The 17,275-nt window shown below is 40.6% G+C and overlaps 2 long non-coding RNA genes across 2 annotated transcripts in view; one reads left to right on the forward strand and one right to left on the reverse strand.

The window, feature by feature from the left end:
- The window catches only part of JRKL-AS1 (JRKL antisense RNA 1), a 63,596-nt gene extending 56,674 nt beyond the window's left edge, over positions 1-6,922 (reverse strand). The window contains exon 1 of the long non-coding RNA NR_047481.2: positions 6,775-6,922. This is a non-coding gene — a long non-coding RNA (JRKL antisense RNA 1). The remainder of the gene's footprint in view (positions 1-6,774) is intronic.
- A 1,548-nt stretch (positions 6,923-8,470) lies between these two features.
- LINC02737 (long intergenic non-protein coding RNA 2737) lies at positions 8,471-14,796 on the forward strand. The gene is made up of 4 exons (NR_135097.1): positions 8,471-8,527; positions 10,974-11,056; positions 12,116-12,126; positions 14,542-14,796. It is a non-coding gene; the product is annotated as a long intergenic non-protein coding RNA 2737 (long non-coding RNA).
- The last annotated feature ends 2,479 nt before the right edge of the window (positions 14,797-17,275 follow it).

Genomic DNA, 17,275 nt, shown 5'->3' on the forward strand with positions numbered 1-17,275 from the left:
TAAAACTCAGCACCGGCCGGGCGCGGTGGCTCACGCCTGTAATCCCAGCACTTTGGGAGGCCGAGGCGGGCGGATCACGAGGTCAGGAGATCGAGACCATCCTGGCTAACACGGTGAAACCCCGTCTCTACTAAAAATACAAAAAATTAGCCGGGCGTGGTAGCGGGCGCCTGTAGTCCCAGCTACTCGGGAGGCTGAGGCAGGAGAATGGCGTGAACCCGGGAGGCGGAGCTTGCAGTGAGCCGAGATGGCGCCACTGCACTCCAGCCTGGGCGACAGAGCGAGACTCCGTCTCAAAAAAAAAAAAAAAAAAAAAACTCAGCACCTTACTTGCCTCTGTACCTTCCTCTGTAATGTGGCCTAGCTTCAATGTAAACTGGACAATAATAGTCAATGGCCAAACAACAAAATATTCAATTTCCAAATTCAACATAATGTAAAAAACTTCCTCCTGTGCAATGGTAAATGATCTGAGGTGCTTTGCTTATCTCTGTTTGTGGTTGTCTCTCTGCCAACCCTGTTCACCTTTTCAAATCCTCCTCCTCAACAAATATCTTGCAAAAGCACCTCCTCCTCCAGACAAGGCTTCCTTCTCTAATTTCAACCTGGCTAACAAACCCCCTCCCTCTGTATCCATCCCACCCCTCCTCCTTCTCATTCAGCTGTGGCTCCTCTACTCCCTTATTGTTGCCCTTCGCCCCCTCCTTCTCCACTGCATACCAGGTCTCACACTCAACCCCCTTTTGCCAAAAACCAGGCACATGCCCAAAGGTCCTCCAAAGTACTCCCGTTGTGGGAGGTTGTGGGGGCCTAAGGCACAATCTGAGTTCATGTTTCCTTCTCCCTAGCCAGCCTCTCCCAGCTTGAAAAGAAGCTCGGCTTTTTTCCCACAAATTCCACCTCCTGCAAGGAATTTCTAAATATCACTCAATCTTATGACCTTACTTGTCATGACATATGTCATGCTGTCCTCCACCGTCACCCCGGAGCACAGGGAATGCATCTCGACAGCTGCCCAGGCCCATGCAAACACCCTCCACCAACAAGATGCTGCCCATAACCCAGTAGGGACCCTAGCTGTCCCCAGAACTAATTCCAACTGGGATTATCAGGCAACTTCTGCAGACAGACAGAAACAGGGCCATATAATATCATGCCTCCTAGCTGGCATGAACAAAGCTGCCCCTGCTCTTTTCCTCTCCTGCCTTTCAGAGGCCATGACTAAATATACCACCTTAAGCCCTAATACCAGTAAGGGCAGAATCTACCTTCATTTACACTTAATTTCCCAGTCAGCCCCAGAAATAAATAAATAAATAAAACTTTAAAAACTGGAGGATGACCCTCAAATCTCCCAAAGAGACTTAATCAAAGTGGCCTTTAAGGTCTTTAACAATACAGAGGAAAAACTGAAAACCCAAAAGCCAAAAAGGGACCAAGCTAAACACCAGATGCTGGCAGCTGCCGTTCAACAGGGTTCCCAATGCATACAAAAATCCTCAACCTCGCAACAAACCACCGGAAGCCTGTTTGAAGTGTGGCCAACAGGGTCACTAGGCAAAAGCCTGCCCTAATCCCAGGACACCCTCAAAACCTTGCCCCATCTGTGGTATCAAGGAACACTGGTCATTGGACTGTGCTCAGCGAAACTCTTCATCCCGTTTCACCACCTCTAACTGAAGACTGATGGGGCCTGGAATCCACTCCCCCCACTGCCATCACCGCCTTGGAACCCAGGGTAACACTGTCAGTATCTGGTAAGCTTATGCTTTTCCTGTTAAATATGTGACTAGTTACTCAGTTTTACCAGGATATTCTGGACCCCTCCTCAGTTCTTCTATCTCTATTTGTGGGAGTCAATGGAATCCCCTCTAGGCACAAACAGACTGGTTCTCTATTATGCAACCTATTCAACACCCCCTTCACCCACCCATTCCTGATTATCCCTCAGTGTCCTACCCTATCTTGGGGCAGGACATACAAAGTAAATCCCAGGTCTCCATACAATTTGCCTCCTACAATTCCATCCCTTTTATTTTACTCTGCCGCCCAGATGCTTCCCTCTCCTTCCCCTCATCCTCATTATCCACCCTGTTACCTTTTGTTAATCCTGAAGTTCGAAACGTTTCTAAACCCACAATAGCCACACATCACATCCCAGTCACAATAACCCTCCAAAACCCCTCCATTTTCCTTCGTCAGTCTCAAAATCCCCTTAACCCAGCTGGTCTTAGGGACCTCAAACCTATTATCTGTAAACTTTTATAAGCTCGAATTCTCAAGCCTGTCACCTCTCCCCACAACACCCCTATCCTAGTGGTCAATAAGACAGACAGGTCTTACCTCTTGGTCCAGGATCTCTGAGTTGTTAACTAGGCCTATCTATCTGGTGGTCCCAATCATATACTCTACTCTCCCATATTCCCTCATCTACCACACACTTCTCTGTATTGGATCTAAAGGACACCTTTTTCACTATTCCCTTAAATTTTGCTTCCCAAAGTCTTTTTGCTTTCACTTGGTCAAATCCTAATACACATCCTCCCAACTAACATGGATCATACTCCCACAGGGGTTCCAGGATAGTCCCCACCTATTCAGACAGGCCCTCACCAAGAATCTAGCTGAACTTCCCCTTATTCCTAGCACCCTCCTCTAATACGTCAATAACCTCCTTCTCTGTAGCCCCTCCCTTAACCTGTCCTTTGAACACACCACTCAGCTTTTAAATTTCCTCCATAGTCAAGGATATCGGGTCTCACCCACAAAGGCTCAGGTAGCCCAAACCCAGGTCACTTACCTTGGGCTTACTCTACCGCCTAATTCTCAGGCCTTCTCAACTCAGTGAAATGAGCTAAATTGGGATATTCCTCTTTCCCACACAAAGGAGGACCTCCTCTCCTTCTTGGGTCTTGTGGGATACTTCCAGCTGTAGATTCCCAAGTTTGGCTTGCTGTCCAAGCTGTTCTACACGGCCTCACATGGGCCCATCCTAAAATCCCTGAACCCAGCTTGCCCCATCAACTCCCACTTTAAAAAACTAAAAAAATGCCTTTTTAATGGCCCCAGCACTGGGACTGCCCAACCCCACCAACCCCTTTACTCTGTATGTACATTCTGACCAAGGCCTTGCTTATGGACTACCAAACATACAGCAATGCCCCACAAGCCGTTACATACCTCTCAAAACAACCGGACTCTCATTCAAGGCTGGCCACTGTGCCTAAAAATCTTAGGTGTGGCCACATTGCTGGCCTCAGAGGCACAGAAACTCACTTTCTAACAACACATTACTATGTGTAATGCATCTTCCCATAACCTATAGAACCTCATAAGCCATCATTCTCTTCTATCCCTCTCACCATCCTGCTTACAGCAGGTACATGCCTTATTCATAGGAAACTCTCTAAATCACTTTCCAGAAATGTAAAGCTCTCAACCTGGCCACCCTTCTCCCTGTAAACACCTCCAACTCTGAGCTCTCTCTCACTCCTGCCTGGACCTCTTAGACTCCCTCTCTTCCCACTTCCAACACATTTTGGAAGCCCCTTTGCAGGGAACCCCTACATGGTTCATTAACAGAAGCTCTTTTAGGGAGCCATGTCCAGCAGCTGCCAAAAACAAACTCATCATTGCCAAAAACAAACTCCTAAAATCCAATGCTCTCCCGCCTCATACTACCCCTCAACAGGTGAAGCTAGTTTTTCTAACCACGGCCCTCACCCTAGCAAAGGGAAAGAGAATTAATATTTACATGAATTCCAAATACACATACCACATCCTACACTCTCACGCCTTAAGCTAGCCGGAAAGGGTTTTTCTAGCTACAAAAAGAACCCCCATAGGAAATGGCAAACTCATATACAAGCTGCTGGAGGCAGCTAAACTACCATCACAGGCTGCCATCATCCATTGTAAAGGACACTAAAAGGCTACAAATGCCATAAACAAGGGAAAGTTTTTAGCAAGTTCGGCGGCCCAGCAGACAGCCCTTAAAAAATCATTATTGCCCATTTTTCCCAACATACACCCTATATATACCCAAGAGGAACAAATCTCAGTCACCTAGGCTGGCACCATTCAGGAATTAAAATGGTTCTACCTCAATAATAAAATTGTCTTACTCAAGTCACAAAAAACTTCTGTACTTTTATAAGTGCACAACAATTTTTATGCTGGTTACTGCCCACTACTCCATCTCTTAAAAGGTTATATACATTCTCCCACCATGGCTGCTAATCTCAAAAATATTTCTAAGGCATGTTCCCTTTGCACTCAAACTTCCCCTCAGGAAGCTATCAAATCACCTCCTTTCCTGCACACCAGGCCTGAGGACACCTGTCAGGGCAGGACTGGCAAATCGACTTCACCCACATGCCCCCCCATAAAAAGAGTCCAATACCTTGTGACAGCAGTAAATATATTCTCTGGATAAAAGCTTTTCCTACCACCACCAAAAGGGCACACACTGTCACTTCTATTCTCCTCACTCATACTATCCCCCAGTTTGAACTCCCCTCTACCATCCAGTCAGACAATGGGCCAACATTTATTTCACAGGTTAACCAACAGCAAGCAAAGGCTCTAAACATTAAATGGGCTTTCCATATTCCCTGTAACCCCCAATCTTCCAGTAAGATTGAACAGGCCAATGCCCTTCTGAAACAACAACTAACCAAACTCTCCCTTGAGGTTAAGACGACCTGGACTTCACTTCTCCCATTGGCCCTCATGCATTTGTGAGCCATTCCCCACAAGCCCCTCAGCCTAAGCCCATTTGAACTCATGTACAGATGCCCCTTTATCCTCCAGGATCTTCCTTCATCTCCTCCCCCTTCTATATGGGATACTTGGCTGGCATTACACCTCACTCAACATCTAACAAGACAGTGTGCAAATGCTTACTTGCCCCAGCCTGAAAGCCCATCCTCCAGACACTCCTCCCTGTCCCTACAACCAGGGGACTGGGTCTGAATCACAGACTCCTCCTCCTCCTCTCTCCAACCAAAGTGGATGGGTCCTCACCAGGTAATCCTAACTACTCTCATGGCAGCAAAGCTAACATCCTATCCATATTGGATACACCATTCCAAACTAAAAAGACCACCAATTCCACTTCCAGAAATTTCCTCATCCCCAAATTATTCTTCCTCCCTCACAGGACTGACTTGCTGCGCTTACAAAAATTCCAGAAGTTGCCGATCCAGAAGGCCCTGGTCCATGACATTCTCTGCCTCCAATTTCAAATCTTTTATCTCATACTTTGTTTCAAATCTTTCCCAGTATTCCCTCCCGTGTCCCTGGATAGACCACTCCAGTTCCTCACATTAATCCAGGAGCTATGGCTGCAGGACACCTTCCAGGATATCACTCCTACTCAAATCTCCGTTTTTGTTTTTATTTTTTCTTTTTGTCTTCTTTGTCTGTTGGATACTCTAAGTCCCCACCCCCAACCTTTGGCAGTTGGGGCCCCTTTGTCAACCTCACACATTACCTTTTAATCAGTTACACTTCCCTCTTTCTTCCAACTGTTAAATTTATTTGTCCACATAAATCCAGCAAATCACAGCCCTTCCTGTTAACCTAACCACATAAACCTGGTCCAAAATAAACCTGCATCTCACCTACTCAGCCAATCCATTCCCAAAACCTGTTTATAATCTTGCTCAGCTAAACACCTTTCCCCCAATCCATCAAATAAACCCACACTGTCACACACTGGGATGTCGCCCTCCTTTACTTCATGGCCTCTAAACGAAACATGTTTCAAGCTGGATTTCATAAAACACCTCCTTACCAACCCTGCCCCTCTCTGCTGGTGCAGCTCTCCATGTATCAAACTCAAGTGTGCTTCCTGGAAAAAAAAAATGCACATGATTCCCTCAACTGCAACCTTTATCCTTCTGCCCTGTCAGAACCACAATGGCTATTAGTTACCAAAACCCATCTCTTTCTCTCTCTCCAAAACCAAAAAGCCTTCACCTCCTTCCCCATCAATATTCCCTATCAGGCCCTCACAGGGACAACCCTTGCTACCAACTATTCAACTTGGAAAAACAGAAAGTTGGGACAAAATGTTTATTCAGGATTCAACCCCTCCTTCTCATGGCTCACTACCTTCACTTACAACTTTTCCCTGTCCACCCCAAGTCTCTTCTGTGTGAAACAAACTCTTATCTCTGCCTACTGGCCAATTGGTCAGGAACAGGCACCCTAGTATTTCAGTCCCCAAACATTAACATCCTACCAAACAACCAGAGCATCCAGGTTCCTTTAGCAGCTTCTGTCTCATCTTCCTCTACATGCACTAAGCGGGCTCTACATCTCATTCCTCTGGTAACAGGATTAAGCATCTCTGCTGCACTTGGCACTGGAATAGCAGGGATATCACCCTCAACTGCCCTATATAACAAAATCTCTGCAGTTTTCTATGATACCCTAGAGGACATGCACACTTCCATGACAAGCCTCCAAAGGCAGATAGACGCCTTTGTGGGAGTCGTCCTTCAAAACCAAAGGGCTCTAGACCTGTTAATCGCTGAGAAGGGGGACATATGTGTATACTTCCAAAACCAATGCTGTTTTTATGTTAATGAATCCAGCATTATTCATGACGCGGCCCTAAGGCTCCATGACAGGGCTGCAGAAATCCATCAAGTTACTAACTCTTGGTGGCAGGGGTCATTGTTTCTAAAGTGGATGCCTTGGTAACCCCTTCTTAGAGCCCTTAGTTTTCTTCCCTCATAATACTAAAAACTACTCCTGTGTACTCACCTTTATATTCTGCTTTATCTCCCAAAGGCTGAACTCCCTTGTCCAGGCAGCCACCTAGAAACACATTCATACCATCCTTCTCCACCAAGTCCGGTATCAGCGCCTCCAGGAAAACAACTCTGAAGACGACACGCAGTACTTCAAAACCCAAACCCTGACTACAGTGCCCCTATTCAGCAGGAAGCAGCCACATAATGAACAACTCTCATCTTTCTTTTATAGTAAAGTAGGAGGCAAGAATGTTACTCCAAACTGTAACATTTTGTAAGCGCCCCCCCCCCCCCCCCCCCCCCCCCGCTGTTTTGCAGACCTTGGCCAAAGTGAAACATTTCACCAAGATTCAGGCTGTGAGAAACATCTTGCCTACCCACCTGACCACAAGGCAGACAAAGGCCCAACGGAAGAAACATTCTTATCATACCCTACTCGGCAAAGGCCCAACGGAAGAAACATTCTTATCATACCCTACTCGGCAAAGGCTCAACTAAAGAAACATCTCTATCATATTCTGTTGGGAGAAAGTGCAAAGAAACACCACGTTCTGGAGGAATAAGAGCCAGAACTGCCTCATCATGGGAACATCTTATGAATATCCTGCCGGGCAGCCAGCTATATGGCCCAGATCTCTGCCGCTCAGACCCATTAAGTACCCCAGCCTGTAAGCGGCGGTGAGCTCTGTCTGGCCCTAAGTTAGTTGGCCCTCAACTTCCGCAGGTGTCTGCAATATACCTGTGTTGCTGTTTGAGCTGCCCCCTCTCTGTGTCTTTTTTTAACCCTCGTCTCCCTTCAAAACCTAACAGTAAGCACTCAATTCTTACTTGTTGAATAAATGAATGATAGACAATGGACGATGGTTAATTTTTGTTAAGAAAAATGGAAATTCGGCTGGGTGCAGTGGCTCACGCCTGTAATTCCAGCACTTTGGGAGGCCGAGGCAGGAGGATCACGAGGTCAGCAAATCGAGACCATCCTGGCTAACACAGTGAAACCCCGTCTCTGCTAAAAATACAAAAAAAATTAGCCAGGCGTGGTGGTGGGCGCCTATAGTCCCAGCTTCTCGGGAGGCTGAGGCAGGAGAATGGCGTGAACCCGGGAGGGGGAGCGTGCAGTGAGCCGAGATCGCACCACTGCACTCCAGCCTGGGCGACAGAGCGAGACTCCATCTCAAAAAAAAAAAAAAAGAAAGAAAAAAAATAAAAATGGAAATTCAAAGGAGCAGAAAGAGCAATTGCATCTGTAGGCAAGTGCTGATCCTTTCTAAGAATTATGGGTCAGAGAAGCCATATCAGATGTAAAACACAATTACAGGGTTGAAAAGGGAAGATAAAGCAAGATTTCAGGAGTTTCCCAAATGCAAGAGTAATTCAGGAAATGATTTATAAAATTGAGCAGTGAGAGAGTGGTATGTACTCTTATTAAGTTTAGAAGGTCATTTGGTCAGGCTGGAGTTCACTGGCTAGTCAGGACAAACAATCCCACTGTCTCCACTGGCTCTGCTGCTGTGTCTCTACAATTAGGTTGCATCGTTAGATATTAAGTAGATTTTCTAATTTCTATTTTATGCTATCCTATAGTATCACAAGGAGTATATGTGTGTGTTTGGGGGTGGGGGTGGGATTTGAAGACTTTAGAAGGTTCCACTCCTCTGTTTAAGCAATTATGATGTCAGTTGAAGACAACACTCACTCCTCTGCCTCTGCAAGAGAAAAGCCCAAGGGCCTAGGTAAACAATGGACAGCATCCTGGATGATGAGTGAGTTTACTTCTTTAAGAAAAGCAACTTGAGGGCAATGGAAAGGTGGCTTAAAAGAGAACAGGAACCATATGTCAATTATAGAAAGAATTATTAGGACAAAGGTGGTGTACTGAACCTGACTTCAGGATTAGTTTGAACAGCATAATCCTAGAAGTGTTCTAAAAGTTCCAGTTAGTGAGGTTTTAGAATTTTTTAGCTTCGGGTAAAAAATCTATTTGATAAGGTCCAGATTTTTCATATCACTGTGACTATTTGGAGATGGTCTCCTGTAGGTCTGTTTCTACTGAGCTGGGAAGCAGCCCAGGTTTGCTTCTGGTGCTCCTGGTCCAAATCACCTATGGTTCCCTGAGAGAAAACCATTCTTTACAGAGAGAGAAGGGGAAACTAACACTGCTTACATTAGAATATATTTACGTGTCTGCACTATAAAACCTTACATTAAAAGGCTAAAATGCAAACAGCATTACAGGTCTCTTTCCAGGGGTAAGGTGACATTTTGTTAGGAACCTTTCGAAAGTTACTTTGCTTATCTCTGCCTTTCTGTCTCTCATGTTCCAGGGCCATAACTTATGAAGATCAACACTGATGTGATTGGTCTTTACTCCCATGTCATGTTTGCAATGAGGCTTTCCTGGCCACTCTAACTAAAATTGCTCCCTACTGACACTATATCTCATTCCCTTGCTCATTTTTCTCTTTTGCACTTACTATTATCTAAAAACAAAACAAAAAAACCTTATTGTTGGTTTCTGCTCCAGAGTGTAAGTTCTATAAGGGTGGATTAGATATTCATGTCTGTGTCATAGACATTTCTATTCCCTGGAGTCTAGAACAGTATTTGGCACATGGAAGATACTCATTTAGTATTTTTGAGTGACTAAATTATACATTGAATTGGCACAGTCCTCGAAAGCACTCTCATTAGATTATAAAGCTTGTTACAATGAAGCTGCTGTTATTGCAAATTTGTGTACTAGTGATTGCCTTCCTTCCTTATGATTCATAATGTAGCTCATGATGGCAAGCACTTAGATTGAAAAGTTTTAGAACCTATATCAGGGGTAGGCACTTCTTGAAATAAATGAAAGAAAGAATGAATATATGAAATCACTTTTAACATCCTTTCTCAGAACTGCATTCAGAAACAGTCTACGGCCTGAATAAGCAAAATGGTCTAATTACTTCTTATCCACATGTTGCTTTTTGCCAAAAATTGCTAAGTTTAATGAGTTGTTAGTGGAGCAAAATAATGCCTCCATCATAAATTTGCTTATAGACAGTCTTCCATATATCCTATTATAGACAATACAAGATGGGAAAAGTAAACAAAAATGCCTAAATCCTGTCAGGTGACAGTCTCATAAAATTTGACTTCAATTTAATATCCAGGGATATATGTGGGTGATGAACATTTGACAACTGCCTTACGTTTTGCTGCAGTGTCACACAGAGTAGCTGCCATTCTGGTCCAAAAACCCTGCGGGGAAAAGAAAAAACATGAAATATTAGAAATCCTTAATTATGTTTCCTGAGTTTATTCGGCTTGAAGTCTGATTGCCAAAAATATCCCTGCTTGTAACATTAATAGTCTTTTCTATTTAACTAAAATATCAGGAATGTAAAGGAAATGTAAACCACTTCGGTTGTCTAACCAACATTATTCATTTGATTTCTGCTCACTGCTGATAGTAGCACATTTATATTTCATGGTTTCTGAATTCAAACTGCAAAAATATCCAGATGTGGTCGGCTGCTTTCAGGACCAGATGATAAACAGCATTATTTCTTGAAGTTAGATAGCAATCCTGAAGAATAGTCCATTCAGCAGCAAATCAAAAGATTTATATTAAGTAGGAAAGTCATATTAATCTTGCCTAGGTATCCCTGGTAGCAGAAACTTATCTGTAGGGAAAATAGAAAGCATTATATAAAGAAAGAGGCTTACATTATGGCCTGGAAGCAGAATGGCATCAAAATAAGGAGAGAGACTCAATATATAATTTAGAACTAATTTCTGAGAACAATATTTAATGGAAAACTTAATATCACAGCTCACAACCCCACTTCAGGGCCAATCAAAAAGTAGGTAAGCAATTTTGGAATGCTTCATGATGTGGAAAGAAATCTTTGTTAGAGACTTACGGTTTTAAATTATTATAGGCTTCTTCCTATGAGGTTTCTGGAACATAATGCTTTAAAAATGCATTGGTGATGTGAGTGTTCCTACTAACACACGGTTCTCTGCAGCTGAGGATATATTTCTAATGTTGCTGCTCATGGTTTCCTTTGATCTGCCAGTTTTAGCATAATGATCTAATACACATGTGAGTATTTTGAACAGGCAAATAGTTCTACATAAATTCTAGATATGGCATTTTTCTCATTTTTGTTTTAGTGTACATTTATATATATGAAAAGAGTGTTCTTCATCATTTCTTTGCAGTGCAATTTTAAGCCTGAAAAGAATATTTGGTCTTCAATCTTGGCAAGCATACCTGTAAAGTAGATGGTAAGGCTGCTGATGAGGTAAGAAACTTTCTTCTTGGTTAATGAAGGGTATCTAATGGTCTTCTTTATCATCTTGATATATTTGTATTTACCTCTCTAAAAAAAAAAACTGTACTTGGTTAGTTATTCAAATTGCTAAAAATCAAGCTGAAACCAATAATAAGTAGAGCCTTAAATTCTGAGGAAAAGTTTGCAGAGTAAAACCCATCTTTTTTTATACCGTAATTCAAAAGTCAGTTTTTAAATCATGATTCTTGAATTATGTCTTCTTTTTCCTTGGCTATTAAGACTGTCTAAGATAGCTTTCTAGTTTAAGAGGTGGAGATTGATCTTTCTTTAAATAACTAACCCTCTGTGGATTGTTCTATACAATTAATCAATTAAGTTGGTGTTGTTTTATTGTTTGCTGCTACATGTATATTAAGTCTTACCTCCAAGCCCAACTGTATGATCCTTGAAAGCAGGACATAAACCAGTTTCTCAGATATTAAAGGAAGCTGAAGAGTATTACACAGAAAAAGTATAGAAATATTAAGGATGAGAAGTACTGGGTATTTTATGAGTTAAGCAAGCTTCTTTAGTGCAGAGCTTCTCTGAACGTCTGTTGTAGCATGTAGCTGTGGCTCCTGAACCAGACTGCCTCGGTTCCCATCTTAACTCCATTATGAGCTGTGTGATCTTGAACCTTGGATACATGGCTTAACCTTTATGTGCTTTAATTTCTAGGACTGTAATCTGGGTTACCTCACACAGTTTTATGAAGCATTTAGAAATTAATGCATGCACTATTATCATTAATGTACAATTGTGAATTTCTGCAAGAGCAATTTACTGTGCAGTTTCCATAAACATATCTGACCATGGAATTATTTTTTTTTCCTGACATATCACATAACTGGTGTTCCAGAAAATACACTCAAAGAAATATCTTTAGACAGTGTCCTATGATTACTGATACTTAACACATTTGTATCATGAACATTAGATATCCATATGCCATTCATACAGATTTTAAAATATATATATTTTTACTTTTATGCATGCTTCCCCCTCTGCCCTTCTGGATGTATACGCCAGAACCATTTGAGGTAAGTTCCAGACTTTGGGATTTTTCAAATTAAAGTACTTTACCATGTATTTCCTAGGAATAATGACAACCTGTTATAGAACCATATTATTATAACACTTAAGAAAATAAAAATGATTATATAATATCATCCAGCCAATATTTAAAATTTATCCAGATATTACCAGATGTCTTTTATAGATACTTTTTTAAAAATATAGGACTCAATTGAGGTGCACACATTTGATTTTGTTATATATATGTAACTTTCTTTTAATATAGAATAATCCTCTCATATTATTTTTCTCACTAATTATTTAAAGAGCTTTGATCAGCTGTCTTGTAAAATGTCCTTTCGTCTGATTGTCTTCTACGTTGACTAAATTGTTTTCTATCCTTTATCTTTCTTGGAAATGGGAAGATAGGTCTAGAGTTTGGTAAGATACAAGTTAAACAATTTGACAAGAGTGCTTGGTAGGTGATTATCTGTATTTCAAAGCACGTCACATTTGAGACATATATCAGATTGTTCCTTTATTAGTAATGATAATTTTGATCACTCATTTAAGGTGGTGACTCTCAGAAGTCCCAATTGTAAAAGTATATCTTTTCCTTTATAAATTTTAAATAATCCATTGTGTAATGCTTTGAAATTTGTGAATCTCTTTTTCCTTAACAACATTTTACCAATGCTTTTTGTATCCATTGACTGCCCTTGTTTAAGTCAAATAGTACATTGGGATTAGAAAATGGTGATTTTTCTGATTTTGTTATTCTGTGTACATTTACTAGCAAGCATTCTTCTGTTAAGGTATTATCACTGTTTTGAGTGGCATGTGACCTAAAACGAAGTGATGGAACGGCATGGAAGAGCAGACACATGCTTGACAGATTTAGGCAGCTTTATGACAGTTGTAAAAGAAAATGCCAGAGCTTTTCAGAGAAGACAGGGCCAAACATAAGAGGAGGGACACACACACACACAGAGGGAGGGAGAGAGATAAAGAGAGAGATACAGGTTTATAATATGACTATCCCCTGGGAAAGGCCCCTGGGAAGGGACCAGTAAACCAGGAGAGCCTGTTTCATATCAGTGCCATAACTCCCTTGTTTCTTTGACTCCTTTTTATTATATCATTTGGTTAACTGCTCTCCTTTTGTCCTCACTTTCAAGTTCTTTATCTCTTTTTCTGAAGATGTAACACTTATAATTAGCATACCTCTATCTTCCGCATGTAAATTTTTGGAAGTGTTGGCAGACAGCAGAGAAGGCAGAGTTTGGAAAAATACAGGAATCACAAGCTCTAAGATAGCCATAGACAGGGTATTAGGCTGTGTGTATCAAGGCTTGGGTGGGAAATACACGGTACACTCCAACAGGGTCATAAGGTGAGTTTAATAAAGGTATGGGCAAAATTAAAATAACTCATAAAGGGTATTGCAGTACCCTCAGCTATGTAACAAGTTAATAGCTGTAAGCTCTAGCATCGAGAGAGTAGTTATGTAGAGAGGGCCACCTGAAGGAGCAATCGACTTGGAGGGACATAGCCAACACACAATCCCTGTGGGGAGGAAGCTGGTGAGTAAATACCCCACCTTCAGTCTTCCCCACCTTCTGATCTCCTAAAATATAAGTTCTATAGGTATAGAAATTTTATTTGTCTCATTTATTTGTATGTCTAGAAGAAATAGTACCAGGTATGTAGGATGTGCTCAATAAGTTTTGTTTAGTATGTAAACAAATGAATGGAAGAGAGAATGGATGTGTGAGAGACTCAGAGGAGTCATTTTGAGTTTCTCAGTTGGTCTTTTGAAAATCCCATTACTATCCCATTACTGGGTATATACCCAAAGGACTATAAATCATGCTGCTATAAAGACACATGCACATGTATGTTTATTGCGGCATTATTCACAATAGCAAAGACTTGGAACCAACCCAAATGTCCAACAATGATAGACTGGATTAAGAAAATGTGGCACATATACACCATGGAATACTATGCAGCCATAAAAAATGATGAGTTCATGTCCTTTGTAGGGACATGGATGAAATTGGAAATCATCATTCTCAGTAAACTATCGCAAGAACAAAAAACCAAACACCGCATATTCTCACTCATAGGTGGGAATTGAACAATGAGATCACATGGACACAGGAAGGGGAATATCACACTCTGGGGACTGTGGTGGGGTGGGGGGAGGGGGAAGGGATAGCATTGGGAGATATACCTAATGCTAGATGACGAGTTAGTCGGTGCAGCGCACCACCATGGTACATGTATACATATGTAACTAACCTGCACAATGTGCACATGTACCCTAAAACTTAAAGTATAATTTAACAACAACAACAAAAAAATCCTAAAGCAAATTACATTTTCTTTGCCTTAGTAATGCATATCAATGCCATGATATCTCATTATTTTATTTTTAGAAAAAATGATCAATGAGAAAATTGCACCAGAGGACCCACATTGGGACTTTTGAGTTGAACACATTACTTAGCAAATGCTAACATGGGAACTTGAGGATATTTAGTGAACCTGCTGAAGTCAACACATTAATGCAACTGAAACCAATAGAGAAGAAGCTATCTAACCTTGGCATTTTGGGGTCTAAAAAAAGCTTTTACCCACTATTGTGCTTTGTAACCTATAAAATAAATCAAAATAAATCAAAACATAACAACAGTTAACCTTGAAAACCTTTTGACTACCTCCCAGGGTTAATATTCTTGAAGGTAGTATAGTGTGATGGGAAAGTCTGTATCTTGAATTAAGCAAAATTCTGTCAAATTCTGGCTCTGCTATTCATTATCTATATAACATAGAAAGATTACTTGAAAAAGTTTTTAAAATCTCACTTTTTCATTTGTTAAACCAGAATAATCTCACCTGTATTGTGCCAAGAATTGAGAAAATGTATTGCAAATGTTTTGCACATGATATCTGCTTTATACATGTTAGTTCCTTGTTTTCCTTGGGGAAAGATAAATTAATACATCGATATAAATTAAAATAGAAAATTAATATAAATTACTATAATATTAATTTTATATTAGCTTTTATTTCTCTTCATTTTTGTAAACTTTTGGAAATTCTTGATGTTATTATGTAGTTAATGAACTTAGAATCAATTTCAATGAGCTATATCAAAGAAGGCAGAGGAAAAACTACATGGTTTTACTTAACTATACCCCACCTTGTCATTTACTTCATCATGAGATAGCAATAGTCACAAAACCCAATTTAAAAGTAGAAATAAAGATAAATTATCAGAGTTCACAAAAATCTTCCATTCCTGTGTGTAAATGGCACTATTGAGCAAAAGTCTTAGATTTCTCTTATGGAAAGTTTAAATATTTCCATGTTGTTATATTTTATTTTTCCTGCTGGAAGGGGAAATACGACTGATTTTTTGGTAGGCAACTGAAATAACTAGTTTATTGCCTATCCTTCCACAGATATTTTGTGCACATGTGGGCAATTATATAAGCTCTACCACTTTTAAATTTTTAACAGATGCTATATTTTAGACTAGATTTAAATTTTAGGAAAAGTTGTAAAGATATTACAGAGCCCCTATATACTGCATCAACCAGTTTTCTCTTTTGTTAACATCTCACATTTCGGGATACATTTGTCACAGCTAGGGAATCAACATTGGTATATTATAATTAGTTAAATTTCACAGTTTATCAGGTTTTGCTATTTTTAACCGAGTGTTCCTTCTTGGTTCTAGGATCCCATCCAGGATACCATCTTAAATGTAGTTATCATGCCTCCTTAGCCTCTTCTGATCCATGACAATTTCTCAGACTTTCCTTGTTTTTTTTTTTTATGACCTTGACATTTTTGAGGAGGGCTGGTCAAGTATTTCGTAAAAGGTTCCTCAGTTGGAGTTTGACTGATGTTTTTCTCATGGTTAGACAAGGGTTTTGAGAGAATGACTTCAGAGGTGAAGTGCCCTTCTCAGCATGCTAGCAAGGGTACGTATTTCAACATGACTTACCACTGATGATGTTAACTTTTATCACCTGGCCAAGGTAGTGTGTGTTGTTTCTCCAGTGTAAAGTTTCTTTGAAAGTCACTTACCACTTACTCAGTGAGTGGAGAGTTGTGTTCCATCTCCTTGTGCCCCTTTAAGTTTTTTTTTTGAATTTTTATTTTAAGTTCAGGGGTACACATCCAGGTTTGTTACATAGGTAAAGTTGTGTCATGGGGGTTTGTTGTACAGATTATTACATCTCCCAGGTATTAAGCCTAGTACCCATTAGTTATTTTTCATGATCCTCTCACTTCTCCAAACTTCCACCCTCTGATAGGCCCCAGTCTGTGTTGTTCCTTTTTATGTGTCCATGTGTTCCCACCATTTAGTTCCCACTTACAAGTGAGAACATGCGGTATTTGGTTTTCTGTTCCTGCATTAGTTTGCTAAGGATAATGACCTCCAGCTCTGTCTGTGTTTCTGAAAAGGATGTGATCTCATTCTATTTATGGCTGCATAGTAGTCAATGGTGTATATGTGCATTTTCTTTATCCATTCTATTGTTGATGGGCATTTAGGTTGATTCCATGTCTTTGCTATTGTGAATAGTGCTGCAGTAAACATACTCACACATGTGTCTTTATAATAGAATGATTTATATTTCTTTGAGTATATACCCAGTCTTGGGATTGCTGGGTCAAACGGTATTTCTGTCTTTAGGTCTTTGAGGAATTACTCCACTGTCTTCCACAATGGTTGAACTAATTTACACTCCCACCAACAGTGTATGAGTGTTTCTTTTTCTCCACAACCTCACCAGCATCTGTTACTTTTTGGCTTTTTAATAATAACCATTCTGGCTGGTATAAGCTGGTATCTCATTGTGATTTTAATTTGCATTTATCTAATAATCAGTGATGTTGAGCTTTTTTTATATATGCTTGTTGGCCACATGCATGTCTTCTTTTGAAAAATGTCTGTTCATATCCTTTGCCCACTTTTTAATGGTCTTTTTTTTCTTATAAAGTTGTTTAAGTTCCTTATAGATTCCGGATATTAGACCTTTGTCAGCTGCATAGTTTGCAAAAATTGTCTCCCATTCTGTGGGTTGTATGTTGTCTCTGTTGATAGTTTCTTTTGCTATGCAGAAACTCTTTAGTTTAATTAGATCCCACTTGTCA

This window comes from Homo sapiens, chromosome 11, assembly GCF_000001405.40.
Source record: "Homo sapiens chromosome 11, GRCh38.p14 Primary Assembly".
Lineage (NCBI taxonomy): Eukaryota > Metazoa > Chordata > Mammalia > Primates > Hominidae > Homo > Homo sapiens.